Here is a 24,290-nt window from a genome sequence, read left to right as displayed (position 1 = left end):
AATTCATTGAGAAATTAAACTTTTCAAAAATCTGTTAATGATTTAGTATTTTTCATTACAATGATACTGATAGAGAAGCTTATCAAAGAGAATGGCAAAAATTGCATTTGGAATGATTAAGTGCTAGGATACAATAATCCCAATTTTGAGTCGAAGCCAGAGACAGACCTGAGATGGGTTAGGAATAAAGTTGCTGTTTTCTATGAACAGTGTAAATATTAGTACTACTAACTTTTAGAAAGGTAAATAGAAAGGTTGTACACCATAAATAAGTGTCTAGAATGTGCACATCTGGATGCTTCACATACCTAAACTGACCTATCACATGCATACGTCATGCTTTTGTGCTACAAAGATTCTGCTTTTTAATAAGGTGCTGTGTCTTAGAAGATTCATTAAAGAAAGTGGCTGGCATAGGCTTTACTTCTTGAGGAGGTTCTCTCAAGACATCAAAGGGCCTTTGAGCTGGCTAAAAGTAATCCAGCAAAGCTGAATTTTTCTCTCAGTACTTGTGTCTATTAGAGCTTGAAGCTTGTAGAATTTAGAGAGGCCACAGAAGATATTGTAAGGATTTAGTCATACTATTTCCTGGTTCCTCAGCCATAGAAACCACTGGGTTCTTTATCCCAATTTCTTGACTTGGAACCTATGTGTCAATACTGGTGAATCAGTAATAGAAAGGGAGAAGACATTGTGCCTATTCATTTATAGAGGCAATATCGCTGTTGCGTCATTAGTGTGTGATGTTAAAATACAGAGTACAGTATATTTGGTAAGCTTCAAGAGACCAAGAAGGTTGTCTCGTTATCTTGTTTACTTTTGAAACTTCATCATCTAGCAAGGCCTGGCTAATAACTATTTTTCAAAAAGTGTTTGTCGAAGAACTGACTGAATGAATGAATGTGATAGAAATATTTTATGTGAATTGAAAATATCACTGGGTACATCCAGATTTTAAAGTCTCCTCTTGAATATATGAGTCTTTTATAATGGTAATATTTTGGTTTAACATAGCAGCTTACATTATTTTACTAGGGACTAAGAGAACCACTTCTATAGGATAATAACCATACCAAATTTAATTTAAAAATGTAGTTATTCTTTGGTGGTGGATTACAGAAATTACACAGAACTTCAGTAAAACATTTTCTAATAAAAGAATGCTAATAAATGATAAGGTATACTCCCCACATAAAGAGAGTGGTCATAAGTTATAAAGGTGTAATTAGAAAGTTCATTTGGTGGAAAGTTGTTAGAAAGGGTGAATAGCATAGAGTAGAAAGGAGAGTGCTCCCCAGCACTGATGCCAGACATATGCCAACCAGATAGGAGATTTTTTTACTCTCAATATCAAGACTATTTAAATGGTATGGCTTATATTTAATGCAAATCATAGGTTTTTTTGTGTTTTGCTGCTTGGTTTTTTTTTTCTTTTTTTTAATTTCAGGTTTGATTAGACAAATTTGTAAGTTACCCAACCTTTCTTGAAGTTGGACCTTCTTAAGGCTTGTCTGCAGCTTTGGAACTTTACTAGTTCTCAGTGCCCTTGGAACTTTCCTAATAACAACTGCAAGCATAATAAACATGTATGTGACTTCTTTTTGTTCATGCCTAAGGAAAGGCCTTATATTGCTTTTTCTGTATCCTTGAGAAATTCACTAAACACAGCGTTTTCATTCCCTTCCACTTAAAGGCAAAGAGTTGGGGGAGCCCAATTTGGCTGCATATATTTTTGTTTATTACATTGTGACTGAATCTAGCTTTGAATCTGAGGCTACTGTCATTCCCCAAATTTACAATAATCTTAATTTTGTGTGTGTGTGTGTGTGTGTGTTTTGTTTTTCGTTTTTATTTTTGACGGAGTCTCCCTCTGTCGCCCAGGCTGATCTCGGCTCACTGCAAACTCGGCTGAGCTCCGTCTCCCGGGTTTACGCCATTCTCCCGCCTCGGCCTCCCGAGTAGCTGGGACTGCAGGCGCCCACCACCATGCCCGGCTAATTTTTTTGTATTTTTAGTAGAGACGGTGTTTCACCATGTTAGCCAGGATGGTCTCGATCTCCTGACCTTGTGATCCGCCCGCCTCGGCCTCCCAAAGTGCTGGGATTACAGGCGTGAGCCAACGCGCCTGGCCTCTTAATGTTATTTTTTTTTAAGAGTTTTGGCATTCTTGGGGATCCTATGCCTTATGATAACATTTTTGAAATGGCTTTAAACAGGTTTTAAGCAGAAATATAATTAATTTTCCTTACCTTGCAAACTATTTTGGAATTAAAGTTTTTTGTATGGATTTTTTAGTACCAGATAAGAGAGCATTTATGCTGTCTAATTTTAAACTTCTTTCTTGTTTTTTGTGTTTTCCTATTTTCAGCTTTCTAAGAAGTATGGAGTACATGTTTGTGGAGAAGGTGGAGAGTATGAAACTTTCACTTTGGATTGCCCTCTATTTAAGAAGAAAATAATTGTGTAAGATATCATTTCAGCATTTTCTTTTTTTCCCATAAATTTAAGTGATGGAAGCAACTGAACATTAAGCTTGAGGCAACTTTTGTTGGGAAAAATAGAACATGTCTTCTAAGTTCACAAACACTCAATTTGTTTAATACCAGTGAAGTTATCTGAATATCTAAATCAATACCTGACAAGACGAGGCCTTCATAGAAGGCTATAAACTTTTTAGACATTGCACTTTCGTTTACTTGCTGATTATGGCCTGCAGTAAAACTGGTACCTACACACCGACACTTTTATCCTTTCATGAAGTGTGAATTGCCTGTATTATTTATCTTTCATTACAGCTACATTTGATAAACTGCCACATCAGTAGCCTGTGGGTTCCATTAACTCCTTCCTCTTTTTTCTTTTTCTTGGCTTTAACAACTCAGAATGGTAATGTAAACATTTCTCTTCAGTTATTTGGGGTTATTTTTACACATAAACTTTGTTTTTAAATGAATTTAGTTGATGGTGAGTAGTGTGATTTCTTTGCCATAAATTGTTAAAATTAGTGTAGTGAAAAACAGAAACTTTCTTCAGTTTGTTACCTTATCATCCATGCTCTAATTTATGTTGCTCTCTTTATATGCTAAGAGAACACTATCTGCTTTTCTTAAGCCTGTATGCATCATGGAAAAGATTGTCAGAGTTATGCTTGATTGAATGGAAGGCTTCAGTATTTCTAACACTAAGACTTAACCTCTTTGTGCATATTAATAATGAGGGAAGGAGTGATCTAAGAAAATTAAGACAACAACTCTAGGTGGATTTTCTTAAAAAATGCAATTTGTAAAATATGACAAGACATTTTCATTACCATATGCAATATTCATGCACTCTTGCTTTCATATTCTTCTAATTTCTTTTCCATTAATAATCAACATAATCATTATTTATTTGACAAATACTCATCAAGTACCTATTACATCCAAAGTGTTCTCCTGGGCACCACTGATGTTCAAATAGTTTCTGCCTTCAAAGGGGTAGAAAAAGACATCTGTGTGTAATTACGATAAAAGGTGGTAAAAAATAAGTCATAAGTTTATTTATGGGAGAGGACATATTTATTTTGCCCATGATGATCCCAAAACAATTAATGAGTCAACTATTGATAAGTTATTACTTCTATGAAATAATACGTTATATTATTCAAGAAAAACATTTGCAAGCTAGTGTGAAATTATAGTAGAAAATTTAGGATATATTTACTTGTTAATATAGGACTAACCAAATCAGAAAAAAAAAGCACAGCAATAAGTGGAAAACATGCCAAAGAATAATACTTTCTCTATTTGCCAGAAAAATTGAGGTCCCAGAGCACCTGGAAGTCTTTATGGACAACATGGAATTACAAGACATGTACTGCTTTACTCTACATAACCAGAAGATATGTTTATCACAGTATTTTAGACCTAGAATATGAATCCTTTTCAACCTCCTCATTTTGTAGGCAAGGAAACCTAAGCCTGACAGAGACAGTGGCATGAAGGGAATTACTCATGCTGTTAAAGAGAAGATGTCAGGGAAGGTGGTTAGAACCCTCTAGTGCTAAAATGAGCTGTTCAGTGCAAAGTGTGAGTAGAACTCTGCAAGTTGCTGCCCTGCTCTGTAGGAGTTCTTCCTGTAACCAAAGAGATGGACAGGCAAATCAACAATAACTGATAGGTGCTACCACGCAGGTATGTACCTTGTAAACACAAAGGAAGCCCTGTCTTTTCATTGTTACTCATTTATGAGTTAATCACCAATCTAATTCTGATGCTTAAGCATATTCTTTGCTTTTTTTTTTCTTCATAGGCTATGCCTCACTTCAGCTTCATACTTTTCTTTTGTGATACCTTTTCTCTAGATTGCCTTCTCATTTCTGACCACTTTGCTAAATCCTTTCATTTTTATATGCTTTGGCTGCCATTGCCTCCAGTGCTTGTTCTCATACTTATCAGAGCATACATTAGGCTATTTGCTAAATACTGTTGGACTAATTTGTAATTTGTTGTTGTTTATTTTTGTTTATATATGGTATTTCACATACTTTTATGTATTTATTTGTTAGGTTATAACTTGAAGTTATAGGTTGGGAAATATCCTCATTTGGCAGAAAAAGGATATCACTTAATATAAACAAAATCTCCCCTCCTCTTTAAAATTGAAATGTCCTAAGCATACCTGCCTGATATACAATAAATGCGAAGATGTGAGTGAACATGTTTTGTGCATTCTAAAACTGTATGTAAATGAAAGTTATATTATTTAGATATAATCTTCCATATAATACAATTAAAAGATGAGCTTAGTTCCTGTAACTGTTTTTTAACAATTGAGTATTAATAATTCTGGATCCAATCATTTAGAATTCATTTTGGGGACAGATTTTATAACTTCTGTTATATTTGATGTAATAATTGTCTGCCACTATTAGCACGCAACTAATCATTTATTAGGAATCCTACTTCAAACGTCTGATTCAAATGACATTTTATTTTTTACAAAAAAAGAAGACTACCTCTAAGGCGAGAAAAAATAAATTTTACATGCAGACTTATTTGATTATAATTAGATATCTTTTTTGAGGTGAGGGAGGGGCCATGTGGGCCAATGTAATCATGAGGATCCTTAGAAGAAAGAGGCAGAAGGGTCCGAGTCAGAGAACGGGATGTAACAACGGAAGTAGACTCAAGTGACATGGAGCCATGAGCCAAGAAATGTGGGAAGCTTCTACAAGCTAGAAAAAGCAAGGAACAGATTCTCCTCTAAAGTCCCAAGAGAGAATGCAGTTGTACCAATACCTCGGGGGTTTGTTTGTTTGTTTGTTTGTAAATTATACTTTTAAGTTCTAGGGTACATGTGAAGAATGTGTAGGTTTGTTACGTAGGTATACACGTGCCATGGTGGTTTGCTGCAACCATCAACCCATAACCTACATTAGGTATTTCTCCTAATGTTATGCTTCCCCCAGCCCCCCACCCCTGACAGGCCCTGGTGCATGATGTTCCCCTCCCTGTGTCCATGTGTTCTCATTGTTCAACTCCCACTTGTGAGTGAGAACATGCAGTGTTTGGTTTTCTGTTTTTGTGATAGTTTGCTGAGAATGATGGTTTTCAGCTTCATCCTTGTCCCTGAAAGGACATGAACTCATCCTTTTTTCTGGCTGCATAGTATTCCATGATGTATATGTGCCACATTTTCTTTATCCAGTCTATTGTTGATGGACATTTAGGTTGGTTCCAAGTCTTTGCTATGTGAATGGTGCCACAATAAACATACATGTGCATGTGTCTTTATAGTAGAATGATTTATAATCCTTTGGGTATATACTTAGTAATGGGATTGCTGCGTCAAATGGTATTTCTAGGTCTAGATCCTTGAGGAATCGCCACACTGTCTTCCATAATGGTTGAACTAATTTACACTCCCACCAACAGTGTAAAATTGTTCCTGTTTCTCCACATCCTCTCCAGCATGTGTTGTTTCCTGACTTTTTAATGATCGCCAGTCTAACTGGCGTGAGATGGTATCTCATTGTGGTTTTGATTTGCATTTCTCTAATGACAGGTGATGATGAGCATTTTTTCATTTGTCTGTTGGCTGCATAAATGTCTTCTTTTGAGAAGTGTATGTTTATATCCTTTGCCCACTTTTTGATGGGGTTGTTTTTTTCTTGTAAATTTTGTTTAAGTTCTTTGTAGATTCCACGATTGAATCTTTTTTGTATAATGAAGTAATTTAGAGAGATCAGTGTGGTTCTAGAAGTTTATTATGCCAGGTGCAGTGGCTCACGCCTGTAATCACAACACTTTGGGAGGGCAGGGCAAGAAGATCACTTGAGGCCAGGAGTTCGAGACTGCAGTCATCTATAATTGCACCACAGAACTCCAACCTGGGCAACATTGCAAGACCCTGTCTCTAAAAAAAAAAACAATATGAATAACAATAATAAAAAATGATAAATAAGTAGAAGTTTATTATGAGATACCTTTTGCCCAAATTCCAATTAACATTTTAAAATGTTTTTAGGAAAGACTAGTATAACAGGCTTTGTCTGGAAATAATTTTTTATATTTCTACCTAGAACAGTTTACAATTCACTTTTCGTGTCTATTGACAGATGAAGTCATTCACCTCTAGATAGAAATTTTGAGATGAGAAAATGAGTTTTTTCCCTGAGAAGCCCTCCTGAGAAGAATTATAGCCTAGCTTTTAAGAGAAAAGGATAATTGTAGGTCCTCAAATTAGAAACCTGCTCTCTTATTACTTATTTTACATATATATGTATATTCATAACTAAAATCTTAAGGTAGTGTTAATGAAAGTAGTCATTTTCTTCTCTCTCTTCATGTATACATTTTTATGTCAGTATTTGAGACAATTCTATAGTTCTGTTTTAATCATCAGTATCACTGTATTACTGCTACAAAGTTGCCACATATGGGATGGATAGATGATGGATGGATGGATGGATGGATGGATGGGTGGACGGAAGAATAAGAATGAAAAAAGAAGAAAGGAAGAACCAAATCCTATGGTTAAAACACTTTATCCTCATTTTCATCCCCACCTACTCATATTTTCTGCCCACTCAAGGCATAACTCAATACAGAACACCGTAATGCCGTGTTTCAAAATGAGTATAAAGCAAATACTTTATTTGCCTTCTTACATTGATTCTGTATCATCTGAGAATTTATTTAAATTTATGAGCTATTTTCCTTATATTTAAATTTTCAGACCTACTAATCTTTATTTTTATTATGGTAGAGATATCATATACTGTTATTGGTGTATATATATGTGCATATATGAATATGTTTATATATGCAGTATGCATGTATGAGAAAGTGTGTACAGTCATGAGTCACTTAATGTGGAAACATTCTGAGAAATGCATTGTTAGGCAATTTTGTCATTTTGCAAGCACCAGAGTATACTTATACAAATATAGATGGTATAGCCTACTACATACCTAGGCTGTATGCTCCTAGGCTATAAACCTGGACACCATATTACTGTACTGGAGACTGAATAACTGTAACACAGTGGTAAATATTCATATATCTAAATGTATCTAAGCATAGAAAAGGTACAGTAAAAATATGATATAAAAAATTTTTTAAATGGTACACCTGTACAGGGCACTTAACATGAATGAAGCTTACAGGACTGAAAGTTGCTCTGGGTGAGTCAGTGAGTGAGTGGTGAGTGAATGGAAGGCCTAGGACATTACTGTACACTACTGTAGACTTTAAAAGCACTGTACACTTAGGCTACACTAAATTCATTTTTAAAATAAAATTGTGCTACAACATTATGACAGCTATGATGTCACTAGGTGATAGGAATTTTTCAGCTCCATTATGATCTTATGGCACCACCGTAATACCCAGTCAGCCTTTAACCAAAAATAGCATTATGTGGCACGTGACTGTATTCACATGAAGATAGGTAATTGAAAAATCACTGTGAGTTTCTAATAGTTTCACTAATTAGTGTGTAATTGTGAGGATACTTAACAAAGTTTAACTGTACATTCATTTATTCAACAAATATCTAATGAATATTAGGCAATGTACTTTATACAGAGCTCAGGGTGGGGTAGAACAGGGACAGGCAGACAAAGATGAACAAAACTGGTTCCTCTCCCCGAAGAAAGGCACACAAACACATAATTATAATGTAGTGGATGTGTTATGAAAGGGCTATAAATGCAATACTGAAGCACATAACGGAGAAAACTAGTACTGTCTGAGGGTGTCAGGGAAGGCTTCATGGAAATAACATTTGAGATGTCTGTGAGGATAAGTGTGAGTCTGTGGGGAATATCTGTATACCTTTTAGTGAATACAGAAACCGTATGTTTGAGCAAGAGAGGTAAACAGTGGTTCAGTCCCAGCTTAGCGTAGTTGTCCTTTTAGAGGAGAGGTGGGGACAAAGACCATGGCTGAGTCTCAAGAGGGAATACCATTTTTTTTTTTGAGGTGAGAGGTAGAGCCTGACCCCAACACCTCAGGAGGCTGGTATCAAGGAAGAGAGGCCCAAACCAAACCCAGCTGCCCATTTGATGTTGTTAAGTAGGGGTGAGCCTAGTGTAGTAATGAAAGAGAACATGGGCATGCTCTTGGCTGTGGAAAAGACCTAGCTATATGACAGGTGGTAACTGCTACACTGATTAATGGAGAAAGGAAAGGAGGACAGCCAGCTGGGGAGCATTTTTGCTGTGGCACAATTGTCTTAGTTTTCTGGATTAATCTGAGGATATTCTGACAGATTCTGCTTTCAGGATTCAGAGAAATCCATGAAGCAGAGACCAGAGTTCCTTGAAATTTGAGTATCACTGTGATAGTATATGAGAGAGAAGAGCAATAGTGAGTGGTATTATTCTGCTTGAAACTGAAAGCTGTTCATTTGAAATCTGGTCTCTCCCAGTTGACTCTTCCTTTGTATAAGTGAATGAAATTATGTTAGTCAATTAGAAATTATGAATTTAATAGAGTTTATAAAAACTGGAGTCTTCTTCATTTAGTGCTCAGAATGTCATATATTCTCTCTGGGTAATAATCTTGATTCAGATCATTTAAGCTATTTGCTGTCATCCCTCTGTTTCTAGTGGTGATAACTGACATGAGAAGGGAGGACCTAAAACCCTTTCTACTGAGATAGTATTAGTTCAGGTTAATTATAGTTTTGGCGCACCCCATTGTCAAGAATATCAAAACCAAGCTGCCTGAATTAGACATAGTTAAGGCTCAGGGTCAGTGTCCAAGGCTAAAGTCTGGAACAGATATATTGACATTTAATGTAAGAGTAAGATTGTATAATAGGAATTGAGGTTTGATTAAAGAGCCAAGATAGGACCAGAGCAGGCAACTGTGGAGGAAATGGAAAAACAGTAAGATTAGGGCTAACAAACCAAGTTGGGGTCAAGCCAGAGGGACAGGTGGTAGCAAGCAGGAGGGCCTCCTCTGTACTTTCTCTTTCTGCTGCTGCTCCTCATCATACCTGGTGGCATCTTTGGTTGATGTAGACTGTGAAGGCAAATTATATGTTTCCATCAGGATGCTGAATCTTGAATGATTCTATGTCTGTTATAAGTTGCTTTCCTTTTAATGTCATGGAAGCCTTTTTAATGTTATTTTTTCTAAGCATTAGAAAGATACATATTTGATACTAAAGGTTCATGAATGATAATTGGGGTTTTTAATCATCAAACGTACTTTTTTCTTGATCTTTCAAGTGGGAAGTAAACATTTTGCTTATGAAAGTTTAATAATTTGGAGCCAAATATTTTGAGATTTCTTCTATTGCCACCGAGTAACTTTGCATGATACAAGTCGATTCAAAAATATTTTTACATTAGCGACAAAATGTCAATGTCAGGATTTATTTTACTGTACTACAATGGTCAAAATGCTAACTATTAATATAAACAATAGAAGTACTTCCCAAGGCACTAAAGTGATATGAGGAATTTCTATTTTTAAATTTTCAGTTGAAATTCAAAACATTATTACTCTCTTAATAAACAATAAAAAATAATTCATTATTAGAACTTTACACATAATCTTAGTTATTCAAATGTGCTTTACAGGGTATCTTTGATAAAAGTTGAGTTAATTTACATGTATCCATATGGTGCCAGCATGCAGTTCATACCATTTTACCTGAATGTGGTCATTACTATGTCAGACAATCAATTTTAATAGCAATGATACTGCAGTGTGAAGAGTTCATCTAGAGCTTAAAATCATCACCAGTACTGCTTTTGTGAAGGATAATTGAGATTTTGTGTGAAACATTGAATGAATTACCTCTTGAAAATGAAAAGAATAATGAAGATAAAGCACTAATGTTTAATGCTTAGCCTATACCAAGCAAATACGTGAAAATGAAATTGAACAGGAATTTAAGTCTTAAAATTGTTCAGAGAGCTTTGAGTGAACCTGAAAGTTGAACTCTTATGTTCTTATGAAGATAGAAAGCCTCATTGTTTTTTCTTAAAAGCTTAGTATACTTGAACCTTTTCCCAATTAAATACTGGGTTATTAAAAATATTTATTAATCACTACATGTTGTATACCAATGGAGATAAATATAAAACAAGAATGTTTAGTCTCTTCTAGTCAGTAGGAGGAATGATTTGTCACAATTTTTGTAGCATATAAATGTATTGTAAAATTTTTGTATTTCAGGGATTCATCAGAAGTAGTCATACATTCAGCTGATGCATTTGCACCTGTGGCTTATCTACGCTTTTTAGAATTGCACTTGGAGGACAAGGCAAGTAAATCTAAGATTCACAGTGATTTCAATAGAAATTTGAGATATATACATTGGCTTTGCATATATAATTCTGTAACAACAGATGACAGGAAAAAGAAAATTGATTTTTATCATTAGTGGTTTTTTTTCAGCTCCTCAGTCAATAACTAAGAATTTTACAAATGCTTATAGTTTTGAGTTATATATGATACAAAAGATACTACATTTATGAAAAGTTTGCAGGTCAGTTAAAAAGGGAATAGTATATACATTAAACAATGGGAGGACAATATAAAATCAAATATTAAATCATCTAGCAGGATCACATTTAAGTTACTGTACATAAGCATTAAGGGAAGGGTTTGAGGATAAATTGGATTGTCATTATTCAAAGCTTAAGAGAGGAAAAGGAGAAATAAAACCTTTACAAAAATATCCAGGAAAAGAGAAGTAAAAATGGAAGATGGAAAGTGAAGCAAAATTACAATAAAGAGTTTTATTTTAAATACACTGTCAAGATACAGTAAAATTTTAATTTAAAGATATCTTGTGGAATAAAGTTCTGGATTAGATTCCTTGATTGAGAGGTCTCATCCTTCAGATGTTGCTTTATATTAGTTACCATAAAAATGATAGCTGAAATTATGTGAAGAAATGAGTGTAGTGACAGAAAAGGATTAGAAAATGTCTTCTGTATATTTAGTGTTCTTTCCCCCAAGTCTTGAGGCACACCCACAGTTACATATTTTACATCATAGGAAATCTGAAGGAGTAAGAGGATTAACAAGAATTCGGCAAAAGTAGGAAAAGAGTGGTAATGCCAAAAATCTCAAGATGAGAGGGTTTCTACAGGTGAGGATAATTATAGGTGCCAGTTCTCCAGAAGAATGACAATGGGCAGGATTAAAAATAGGTTGTGGAATTGGGCTGGATGATGACTATTGGTGACCTTTTATCAAAAAGCTGGTAACCCCCACAAGAATTAAGTTACACTATCCAAATGTTTTTCAGATTTACTTGAACCCCTAACTTGTAGTTTTCTGCTACTTTTGCTACCATGTACGCACACACAAAGTCAAAAGCACTGAATTCATGTGTAGGCATTCCAGCCATTCTATGTTCAGCTCTACCCGAATAGCTCACTGTTCACCTCGTTGTTTTGGTATTTGATTGGTCTTCAGTATGACACCTCAAAGAAGCAATACTGTTACCTGAAATAGGCTGCGAAGATAACAGTATTTCAGATAACAGTATTACATCTTTGAAGTGTCATATTCACTGACACTGAATAAATATGGTGCATTTTCCTTCCCTTTCCTTCCCTTTTTTTTTTAGGTGTCCTCAGTGCCTGACAACTACAGAACATCTAATTATATATATAATTTTTGAAAAGTGTTTTGGAACATTGTTCATTAAACCACCATTTCTATACAAAAAAATTGCATAGTATTTTCTCAGTTACTATGACTAGTTTATTTTTTTCTCATGACTCTTATTTTTTTAGAGAAACATACTTTCACTAGAAGAGGTTAGTGGAACCATTTATTAATTGGGAAAATGTCGACGGCATGTTCATTAATAGTGCCAACTTTCTTGGAATTCACTCTTTCTCTTTCGTTAACACATCTTCCCTATGACCTTTTTTTTCTTTTATTTCATCTATAAACCCCATTTCTGTAGCATTTCTTTTTTTATCACACTAGTTTCTTTTCCTCCTTCTCTCTTTCTTGCTCCAATCCCTACCAATAATGTCATGATGCAGAGGCATTTGAAAATGAAGATGAAAAGATGGTCACTTTATTTAGCCAGTCAAGCTTATTCTACTGGGTGTCGCCAAAGCGATTTATCATTTTTATTTTAAATATATTCATGGTTGAAGTGTTTCAACGTTATTGGACAATTAGGAAGAATGTCCTTAACTCTTACAAGTTATTTTATAACTGATTTTTAAAATGCTGTTTTTCAGTATTAACTATGTTGACCTTAGAAAACTTTTACAAAAAATAGACTTTATGTTTTAGAACAGTTTTAGGTTCACAGCAAAAATGGAGCAGAAAATGCAGAGATTTCCCATATACCCTCTACCTCCACACATTCACAGCCTCCCCTACCGTCAATGTCTTATAATAGAGTGGTACATTTGTTACAACTGATGAACCTACATTGACACATTATTATCACCCAAAGTCCATAGTTTACGTGAGGGTTCACTCTTGGTGTTGTACATAATATGGGTTTTGACAAATGTGTAATGACATTTGTCAACCGTTATAGTATTATACAGAATAATTTCACTGCCTTAAAAAATCCTCTGTGTTTTACTTATTCATCCCTCCCTCTCCTTTAACCCTTAGCAACTGATCTTTTCACTGTGTACATAGTTTTGCTTTTACCAGAATGTAATGTAGTTGAAATCATACAGTATATAGCTTTTCATGCAGTATATAGCTTTTCAGATTGGCTTCTTTCATGTATTAATATGCATTTAGGTTTCTCTGTATCTTGTCATGTATATGTAGCTCATTTTTTTTTTAGTGTAGAATAAAATTTTATTGTCTGGTTCTACCACATTTCATTTGTCCATGCACCTATTGAAGAACATCTCAGTTGCTTCCATGTTTTGGCGATTATGAATAAAGCGACTATAAACATCCATGAACAGGTTTTTGTGTGAAGATAAGTTTTTTTCAGGTGTATAAATACCAAGGAGCACAATTACTGGATCATATGGTAAGATTATGTTTAGCTTTGTAAAAAAAACTGCCACACTGTTTTCCAAAGTAGTTGTACTATTTTGTATTCCCACCAACAATGAATGAGAGTTTCTGTTGTTCCACCTCCTGACCAGCATTGAGCATTGTAGGAATTTTGGACTTTTGCCATTCTGGTAGGTCTGAAGTGTTCTCTCATTGTTGTTTTAGTTTGCAACTACCTAAAGATATGTGATGTTGAACATCTTTTCATGTTTGTTTGCCATCTGTGTATCTCCTTTGGTGAGATGTCTCTTCAGATCTTTTGACTATTTTTAATTGGGGTTTTTGTCTTATTATTGAGTTTTAAGAGTTCTTTGCATATTTTGGATAACAGTTCTTTATCAAATATGTATTTGCAAATATGTTCTACCATTCTATGTTTTGTCTTTTCATTCTCTTAACAGTGTCTTTTACAAAGCACAAGTTTTTAATTTTAAGGAACTCCAGCTTATCAATTCTTTTTTTCTAGTATTATGCTTTTAATGTTATATCTATCTGTAAAATCATTGCAAAATCCAAGGTCATCTGGATTATCTTGTCGAAGCTTGATAGCTTTGTGCTTTATGTTTATGTTTGTGATACATTCTGAATTCATTTTTGTAAAGGACATAACATCTATATATGGATTCGTTTTTTAAAAATGTAGTTATTCAGTTGTTCCAGCACCATTTCTTGAAAAGACTATCTTTTCTCCATCATATTGCCTTGTTCTTTTGTATATTTGTGTGGTCTATTTCTGGGCTCCCCAGTCTGTTCCACTGATGGATTTGTCTCTTTTGCAAATACCACAGTCTTGATTACTATAGCTTTGCAGTAAATATTCAAGTCAGATAGTGTTTGTCTTCCAACTTTTTTCTTCTTCCGTATTGTATTGACCATTTTGGGTTTTTTGTCTCTTGATAAAAACCTTACAATCAGTTTTTCCGTATCCACAAAAAAACTTGCTTGGATTTTGACTGGGATTGAAGATCAATTTGGGAAGAATTGACATCATGACGATATTGAGTCTTTTTATCCATGAACATGCAATATCTCTTTGTTTAGTTCTTTGATTTCATTCATTGGAATTTTGTTTAGACACCTTTTTTCTCTTCATTGTTATAGCTTAATATGTTACATGTTGGCTCAATTAGGACTATTTGGGATTTTTCTTTTTTTTTTTTTCATATAACAGGCTTTAAGGTGGTATTCTTGGTGTGAATTCAGAGTTAGTTGATATGCCTCTCAGTCACAGGGTCCAGGGCTAAACTTTCACATGTTGCCAGCTTTACTCCTAAACTAACCCACATGGTAGAGAAGGAATTCTTTAGACAGAAAATGAAGTATGATTACCAAAAGAAAGATGAATAAATGCTGGATAACAAAAATGTCAGGTACTCTTCTACATATTTTATCAAAATCACATTGTATTTCAGATGCATCTTAACGAATTAACATTCCACCCCAAATATTAGTAATATCTAGAATGTAGTACCCTGAATACCACTCTTAAAATCAATCTGTTTTCTAAATTCCATCAGTTTTCATTTGCTTTATAACACATTTGCAATCTAGCTTGACCTTAATTACTTTGATGAACTGCTGTTGGCCTTTTTTCATTCTTCATAATCCTTAATGCCTTTCCTTGATAATACTGGCCACCATCTCTTTGAAAATTTCCCCTATAATGGTCATATGCCTCTGTACTAGTCTGACTTTTCTGCCTTTCTTTAGATTTCTCCTATCTTCTTCAGTAGCTTCTCTTCTTTTTACCTTCAACATGCACATATGCTGCAAGTTCTTTTTATAGGTCCATTCTTTTCTTTTTCAATATTTTCTTTTTCTGGAATTATGTATTTTCTGCAAGTTTACTTTTCACCTCTTTATCCAGATGATTCTAAAGTCACTCTCTTTCTAGTCTTTTACTAACATCTACTTTCTCCTTAACTCTAGGTTCTTATTTCTGACTGGCTGCTGCACATGGCTACCAATACATGTCATTCTCATTATGTACAAAACTTGAACTCATTTTCCCCTCAAAGTGTCTTTATTCCCTATTTTTGTTATTTAACACAACTGTTCTCCTCATAGTAACTCAACCACAGAATGTTGGAATCATCTCTTAAGCTATCCTCTCATTTACTATGAAAATTCAATTGATTATCTAATCTTTTATATTCTAGTCCTAATATGCACATATTTCCATCCCCATGCTTATCTCTCATTAAATTTATATCTTACCCAACTCTTGGACAAGATACAACTAATTCGAATCCTTGCTTTCATATTCTCTATAGTCAGTTTCACTGCCATATAGATTTTCTTTCTAGTGTATGACTCCCTGCACAAAATTCCACAATAGTACTTCATTATTTTCTAAGTGAATAAAATTATTAGCCATGAATGGAAGGCTATCTGACATATGGCCATAGCATCCTTTTTCAGTCTTGCTCCTAGGATTCCCCTGCCTGTCCACTTTGCTCTAGTGATACTGAACCAATGGCCACTCCCTGATTATGCCTCCTGCTTCTCTCCTTCGTTGCCTTATTCTGTCTTACCGGCTTTCCTTTCTTCTTCTCTTTTTAACTACTTAATCCTACAGACTATGCAAGATTGAACTAAAATACTCTTATACCTTTAGGCACAAGAGATGAACTGCCCTGTCAATTTGTTTCTCTTCCTTTCTTGTTGCAAATAACCTTATTTATTCTGCTTTATGTTTAGTTGTTTAAGGACTTATTCTTTCTACTAGGTTACATACAGATGTCTTGACTACTGTTCCATTTTCATCTTCATAAATTCTGTAACAGCTATTAGTTCTAATAAGAACTTTTTAATTTAATTGGTTGTTATTTTCATATTTTATTTTTTATTCATAAAGAATCTTACAGGTGTGTCTCCATTTCACATTATATGCCATTTAATGAGTTCTATTTTTTTTTCCATTTATCTTGTTAGAGAAAAATGCTTTAAGCAACTAGAATGTAAAATAAAACATTTAAAAATATTGTTAGTGTAAATTTTGATTTATCATTTAGACTTTCACTTTACATATGATGACCCTTAAACTTTTCTATTAAATAATTAATCTACTTAAATTTTACCTTTAAGTTAAAATTTTAAATTATTTATATGAATGTAAAAATGATATCAACTAAACATGGGATTCTAAACAAAATAACCAAATAATAGAAAGCTGTGAGATAAAAACGGAGAAATATATTAAAATTTCTTTGGGGCCCCAACTTTATTGCTTATGGCAAATTTGATAGTAAAATATACCATGCATCACTGCAGTGACAGGCTTGAGAAAATGAAAAATCCAAAGCTTTACATAAATCAATCAGAAAATCATATTAAAATGTATAACCTTTAACAGAAAAATCAGACTTTTACTTGCAACTACTCAGAAGGCTCTTTCTTCCTTATGAGGTTGTTTTAGATTTTCTAACAGCTTTATGGAAAATAGTATTTTAAATTAATTATTAGCAAAGCAATTGTATTTATAGAAAGACAAAGTTCACAGGAATTTAACCTCAATTTTATTAATGTTCCCTACTTTCACTTAGTATTTAATCGTGCTCTTGTTGAAATAATTTCCTAAGTACTAATGTATCCTATAATCAGCACTTAAGTTTATTTTTTGTTGAAATAATTTCCTGGGACAATTATATATTTTATATAATAATAAAAGCACACACTTTTAAAAGTTGTCACTTTTAAAAACATCATCAGTCTTACAGCCCATTCTTGGCTCTTTCATTTTATTTTGCTTTATTTGAGATATATCATCAAATGCCTTGAAAAACTTTATAATGTTTAGCCATCTCTGTGTTTTTATTTTTCTCTTCAATCCAGCATGTATCTTGAATACCTACTCTGTTTAAAAAACTACTAGGTCTACATGGAATCTACTATAAATGTAGGTAAATTACAGAGTAATTCTAGTCTTAATGCTAAAATGAAGGTACCACTGTAATCATTATTCCCAATGTTATGATTACATTGACAGATAACTCCAGTTTTGCTAACCTGAACTGATGTTATGGCCATAATATGTTGTTGATTCATGGCAAATGGTGATGTGTGAGTTATGATCCTGTTTTTCTCAAAATGGTGGTGGAGGCCGGGAGCTTATATGTTTATTTATGTATGAATGAGGATAGTAAGAGATGGCATATAATCACCAGACTGATCATATTGGATTCTTTGGGGAAGGGAGCAGGAAGGGAGTAAACAGAGAAGCTTAATTCTTTATATATCTGTAATCTGTGGCTTCTTAACAATGAGCATGTATTTTTAATTTTTTTAAATATCTGATTAAGAAAATTAAGAGAGAGCAGTATAGTGAGTTTCAGTGCTAAATAAACACTTAAATGTTATTCTTCAACATTTCACTAGTCTTGGTAGAAAGAGACAATAGGGCCCTTTAAAACTTTCCATTGAACTCAGGTGAAAACATTACTCACAATGGGGGATTGAAATCTAGTTGATCCTATAGTTAAGTCTATAAAAAGACCCCTTCAGAAAATTTTATATGTATACACACACACACACACACACACACACACACACACAAGATGACTAAAAGTGTTGGGATGGTAGGCCTCTTGAGTATGTTGTGCATGGGAATTTGCTGTCATCACTCATAGCAACGTGTATAAACTCAAGGATCCCATCCATGGAGGTATGCTGCCACTGCCTCTATACAACCTACAAAATATTTCCTTACAAATAGGACAAAGAAAGTAAGAAGATAAATGATGACTTTTATTTGCCAACATTTGGTTCAGCACAACTTTCCTACCCTGTCTCTCCCCACCTTTGCCCTTAGGCTAAGGAGCAGAAAAGTGATTTGTCAAGATGGAGCAAGGTATTTACCAGTCTAAAACCTAATGCTGTAAAACTAAATGAGACAACTTGGGGCTTGAATGGGTGCTGGGCTGTAGGTACTGCTGGGTCACTGTTGCTATAAATGGTCACTGGAGCAGATTAATAAATCAAGGATCAGTTTCACCCACATTTAAAGGACTACTTGACTCATTTCTGTCTCGAGTAAATGGACTTTGGTAGTAGCAACGCCATACCGTGATGATATCATTTGTGTTGGGAATCAAACTGGGCAATGCAAGAGTGTTTTTGAAGCCTAAATCTATGTAAGACTTATCAGTTTGGGAGAGGATAATAATAAAAGTAACAATCAATGCTTCCAAACTCCAATTGACTGTCTTTTTTAGCTTTTATATTTACCTAGTTGTTATGCTAACCAATTCAGCTTTTTACTGTTGCTGTTGTTGTTGTTTTAAGAAATAAAATTTCTGATTGCTGTTTTCATAAAGTTCCAGTTTGGTGATTTGTAATAAAAGATAATCCTCATACGATTTATTCATTCAGAACACATTTATTGACTGCTTATTCTTATATGCATGGCACTGTTTAGACATTGGGTGTACAATAGTGAACTGAACAGTTAAAAAATATTGCTTTCATGGAGCTTGTATTCTATGGAGTGAGACAGATAGAAAAGTAAATAAAAATACATTAGATGTGTTCATGAGAAAGTTGCCTCACTGACCATGGATTTGGTGATTGGGTTTTAGGGAATAAGCGTGATCTAGGAATCCTGAAGTACTTATAATGATAGATTTAAGCCCAGGTTGAGGGTCATATTACCAGTCCTTTTGGTCACATTGGCAGATGTTAGTTGTGAGTTGTGTTTGAGTTGTGTTTGAGAAAAGGGGTTAAGGTCTTTCCAATATCTTGTAGATATAGCCAGAGAGCAATTCAGTGAACTGGAAAAGAGGTCAGAAGAAAATATTCAGAATGAAACATGAAGAGAAACAAAGATAGAAAATACACATAAAAGAATTAAGAGGCATGGAAATAGTGAGAAGCTCAAAAATACATGTAATTAGAGTGTCAGAAAGACTAGAGGGAGAATGGGGAAGATGCAATGTTTAAAAGCATAGTAGCTAAGAGCCTCCCAAAATTAACAAAACACACCAAAGTATAGATTCAAGAAGTCTTATGAACCCCAAACAAAATAAAAGTAGATATTCAGGCACATGATGGTAAAACTGCTGGAAACAAAAGAAAAAGGAAAAAAAAAATTGAAAACAAAGTGGGTTAAAAACAGGCTACTTTCAAAGAAGCAACAATTAGAATGGAAATATTGAAGACAGTAGTCAATGAAATCAAATTTTTATAGTGCTAAATGAAAATGCCATCCTAGAATTCTGTACCCAGCAATAATATCCTTCAAGAATAAAAGTGGAGGAATTTCCAGGATGACAGTAATCTGTTTGTCAAAATTTATTTAATAGTTCAGTTGTGGTTTATTCATTTTGCTGTGTGTAATTTTTTTTTGAAGATATAAATACTTAACTCTAGTTAATAACATGCATGACACAGTCTAAATAAAGAGTAATGTCTGCAACTTACTGGGAAATGCATTAAAAATATGAAATGGATTGATGGCGAATGATAGGTATGTGATAAATAGAACAAAGTGCTAATTGTAGAGTGTAGGTAGTGGATATATAGGTGGTCATTGTAAAATCCTTTAGGCTTTTCCACATATATATAAATTTTTTCCTCAAAATATGTTGGGAAAAAACATGAAACTAAAGATTTTTCAAACAAAAACTAAGAAAATTTGTTTCCAGAAAATATCCACACCAAAGGATAGTAAAGGATATTAAGGCAGAAGGAAATTATTCCAGATAGAATATCAGAGATGCAGGAAAGAGATCAACGAGAAATGAAAAGAGTAAACATGAGAAAATATAAGCAGATATTAACTATATGTAAGAATAACATGATGTCTCCGAGTTTAAAATCTACATAGAATTAAATAAAAAGCAGTGCACATAACTAAGGGTGTTAGAGAAGTGGAGTTAAATGGTTAAAGTTTTTGCATTGTATATAAAAAAAGGCAAATGTTGAGATTCATAGTAACCCTCATAGATGTAGATAACATGTCATAAATTCTAGGATAACCACTAAAATAATATAAATGAGTATAATATAATCTAATGAAGTACGAAAAAATAGAATAATGAAAAATAATTTTTAAAAGGCAATAGAAAAAGAAAAAAGGCAAAACAGTAAGCTAAAATAAACATAGAGCAACTAGCAGAAGCAAATCATGGGGTAAGATTATATATTTAAGTGCAAATATATCAATAATTACATTAAATATAATTGTACCACTGTTTCACTTAAAGACAAAAAATATTAGATTGACTAGAAGGCAAACCCAAAGTCTATGCTCTTTGAAAGAGACACCACTAAAAATAAGGGCACAGAAAGAATGAAAGTAAGAGTGTGAAAACATGTGCCATGCAAAAGCTAGGCAAAAGAGAGTTTATGTAGATGTCTTTTAATAGAAGACAAAATAAATGAAAAGCATTATTGTAAAGTACACTGCAATATGTTAAAATGCTCAATTCTTCAGGAAGATATAACAATTCTTAATTTGTATATATATAATTACCATCTTAAAATATGTAACAGAAATTGACAGTAGGGGATTTCCTTATGACAAATTTGTAGTCATAATTCAAGATTTTTGCACGCTTCTTTCAAGTATTGATTTTAAAAACAGACAAAATCATCAAGGATATAGAAAATTAAAATAACACAATTAGCAAACGTGACCCTACAAACATAGAAACACAATGCCCAACAAGTGCAGTACACATATTATTTTCAAGGAAACTAGAAATTATACAAAAGTTAGTTATACCCAGGGCCATAATACAAGTCTACAAATGTCATAGGAATGAAAGTATGCAGGGAATGTTATATTACAATAAGATTATGCTAAAAATCAGTAATAAAAAAGATGGCTAGAAAGAAATATACTAGTAAGATCGCAGAGTGGGAAGTGACCAACCCTATTTCCCCATGGGGACAACAGTATATCCTTCAAAGAGCCTTTATGAGAACTCTAGAAACCAGTAAAGTCACACTACCCCAGACAAGCTCAGAGTCAAAAACAACCACATTGGGTAAGAAAAGCCATCTGTGTCAACTGTGATGCCCCCTCCCCAAAAACAGCACAACTTGGTGTGATCAGAAAGATCATGGCTTCTCCCTTGGGAGGAGAAAAGAATAGTGGAATGTTAAAGGTACATTCCAACTCTTTGGGGCAATGACTAAAGGGACTGGTTTGTATCTCATCAGACTTGGAGTGCAGACAGGGTCCTGACATACTTTGGATGCCTACAAGTTACAAAGAAAAATAGAAAGTTTAGAAGCTTATTACAATGCCTGAAAACTGGCAATAATAAAGATGGAGGCCAGCAGAGCTTGCCACATTTGGGTTAAAGTGACCAACTCAGTTTCTCCCACAGGAGGGTAAGAGAAGGGCAGAACATGTGTCCAGTATTCCAGATTTTCAGATGGCTACCCAAGTGTCTGGTTACTGTCTCTCCTGACTTGGAGTGCTGACAGAACTGACATGTTTTGGATTCCTGAGGGCCACAGAGAACAGAAAAGAAAGCTGCAAAGAGAGCTCAGTGGCTTGTAATGGTTCCAGAGAACCTGTAGCACTGCAGACAGACACTCTACAGAGTAAGAGATCACAAGCTTCTGAAAAGGAAACTGGAAAACTTCTCTCCTTGTGAAATTACATGCACAAACCCAGGAAAGAGGCATCCCCAGAAAAGCTTTAAGAGGACCCAAAATTTCTAACTGGGTTGACTGGTGAAGGTCTTCCCCTGTGTGAAGCCACTTTATAAAGATTGGAAGAGACATTTGCTTTTTCAAATGCAAAAAATGTAACAAATAAGACACATAAAGAAACAGGGAAACATGACCCAATCGGAGGCCCAAAATAGATCTTCAGAAACTGGCTCTGAAAAAATGAAAATCTATTAATATGAATTACTTGACAAAGAATTCAAAGTAATCATTACAAAGCTCAATGTGCTGTAAGAAAACATTAAAATAAACAACTAAATGAAATCAGGAAAATGATGCATAAACAAAATGAGAAAACCAACAAAGGAATAGAAAGTATGAAAAGGAAATAGAAAATCTGGAACCAAAGAATATAAAAACTGAACCAAAAAATTCACTGGAGAGGTTCAACAGCAGATTTTATCAAGCAGAAGAAGGAATCAGGAAACTTGAAGTCAGGTCATTTGAATTTTTTGAGTCAGAGTATAAAAAAGGGAGAAAAAAAGAAAGAAGAGTGAAGAAAGCCTAAAGAACTTATGGGACATGATCAAGCAGACCAATCTATACAGTATGAGAGTACAAGAAGGATAAGAGAGGGAAAAAAAAAAAGAGAGGTTATTTAAAGAATGGCTGAAAATTTCCCAAATCTGAGAAATGATGTAGATATCCAAATTCAAGATCAAAGGACTAAAAATAAGACAAACCTAAAAAGGCCTGCACTTAGATACATTACAATCAAACTGTTGAAAGTTAGAGAGTGACATAGGCAAGATGGTGGAAAATGAGGTTCCCCAGCTCATATCCCTCAATATTAACAATAACTTGGCAAACATTCACAGACGAAAATGCCCTTGTGGGAGTATTGAGATCCAGGTAGGAGGATGCAGAACCTCACTGATGCCCAAGACTTTGGAGGGCCACTTTGAGAAGACTAGCCTATGCCCCAGTGGCAGGCTAGCTGACAGTGGCCTCAGCTGCATGTCAGTAACAGCCCTATTCTCCCGTAGTCTCAGTTCCGGACACGCTTGGTCTCTGTCCTGCCCATGATCCCATTTGTCAGGGCACATGGGAGGAATCAGGTTGGCTTATACCTTCATTAGAAGGCCAACAAACTTAGTCCCGGCTGTGGATCCTGAGACCTGTGACTCAGCTACAGCCCTGCTTTGCTGTAGGGAGAAGTCCTGCCTACCCAAGGACCTGGTAGGAGATATGCCTGTTCATTCCTCCAGTGGCAGGCCTGCTGACCTCACACCCAATTGTGTACACTAAAGTGGCCCTTAACTGGGCTCTAGCCCCAATCTACCATAGCCCAGAGACAGTCCTGCCAACCCAGGGACCTCTGGGAGACACACCCATCTATGCCCCCAATCTACCATAGCCCAGAGACAGTCCTGCCATCCCAGGGACCCTCTGGGAGATACACCCATCTATGCCCCCAATAGCAGGCACACCATTAAGGTATCTGGCTATAGACCTTGAACTGGTCCTGTGACTTAATTCCATTTCCACTCTGCTATGGCCTGGGGGCAGTGCTACCCACATATGTTACCTTCAAAAGACACATCTATCCATAGCCCTGGTAACAGGCCTGCTGAACTCACCCTACCTCAGTGCTGAAGCAGCCCTATGACTTGACTCTATCCCCCATCTATTGTGGTTAATGGGTGTCTAGTAGGAGCCATGCCTATTAAGACCCTGCTAATGGGCCTGCCATCTGCAGACCCAGAAGTCCTCTTGTGACCCACCTCCAACCTTGCTTGACCATGGTTCCAGAGGTAGTCCCATCTGATTGGTACCAGGCAGGAATTGTGCCCACCTGTGCCCGCAGTAACAGGCCCTTCAACTGTGTACCTGACTACAGACCCAGCAGCATCCATGTGAGACAGCTCTAGCCCCAGTTAATCGTGATCTTGGAGGCAGCCCTATCAATCTGGGGACCCAGCAGGAGAAGTTTTTTACCTGCAAAAATCAGTCTGTTAAAGACTGGAAAAGGTGTTTGCTCTTTCAGATGCATAGAACAACAATGCAAGGCTAAATGGTGCAAAAAATCAAGCAAACATAACCAAAGGAAATGAATAAAGCTCCAATAACCAGCGCTAAAGAAATGGAAATGCATGAACTGCTTGA

The 24,290-nt window shown here is 35.0% G+C and overlaps 1 protein-coding gene and 1 non-coding gene across 12 annotated transcripts in view; both read left to right on the top strand.

Moving 5' to 3' along the window:
• DPH6 (diphthamine biosynthesis 6) overlaps nt 1-24,290 on the top strand; it is a 401,189-nt gene that overhangs the window by 161,881 nt on the left and 215,018 nt on the right. For 6 of the 11 annotated variants that reach the window (XR_007064493.1, XM_047433263.1, XM_017022708.3 and 3 more), the window contains exons 7-8: nt 2,369-2,463; nt 10,677-10,764. Coding sequence is in view for 7 of the 11 variants with exons in the window: in XM_047433263.1 (XP_047289219.1) it covers nt 2,369-2,463; nt 10,677-10,764 (183 nt within the window). In the remaining 4 variants the exon portion in view is untranslated. Of the gene's footprint in view, nt 1-2,368; nt 2,464-10,676; nt 10,766-12,081; nt 13,406-24,290 lie in introns of those variants that run through there. The other 5 variants (XR_001751412.3, XR_001751413.3, NM_080650.4 and 2 more) reach the window with 4 other exon arrangements.
• MIR3942 (microRNA 3942) lies at nt 11,921-12,029 on the top strand. The gene has a single exon (NR_037507.1). It is a non-coding gene; the product is annotated as a microRNA 3942 (primary transcript).

The sequence above is a fragment of the Homo sapiens genome, chromosome 15 (genome assembly GCF_000001405.40).
Source record: "Homo sapiens chromosome 15, GRCh38.p14 Primary Assembly".
Classification (NCBI taxonomy): domain Eukaryota; kingdom Metazoa; phylum Chordata; class Mammalia; order Primates; family Hominidae; genus Homo; species Homo sapiens.
Note: the sequence above shows the minus strand (reverse complement) of the source record. Positions and strands in the feature narration are given on the sequence as shown.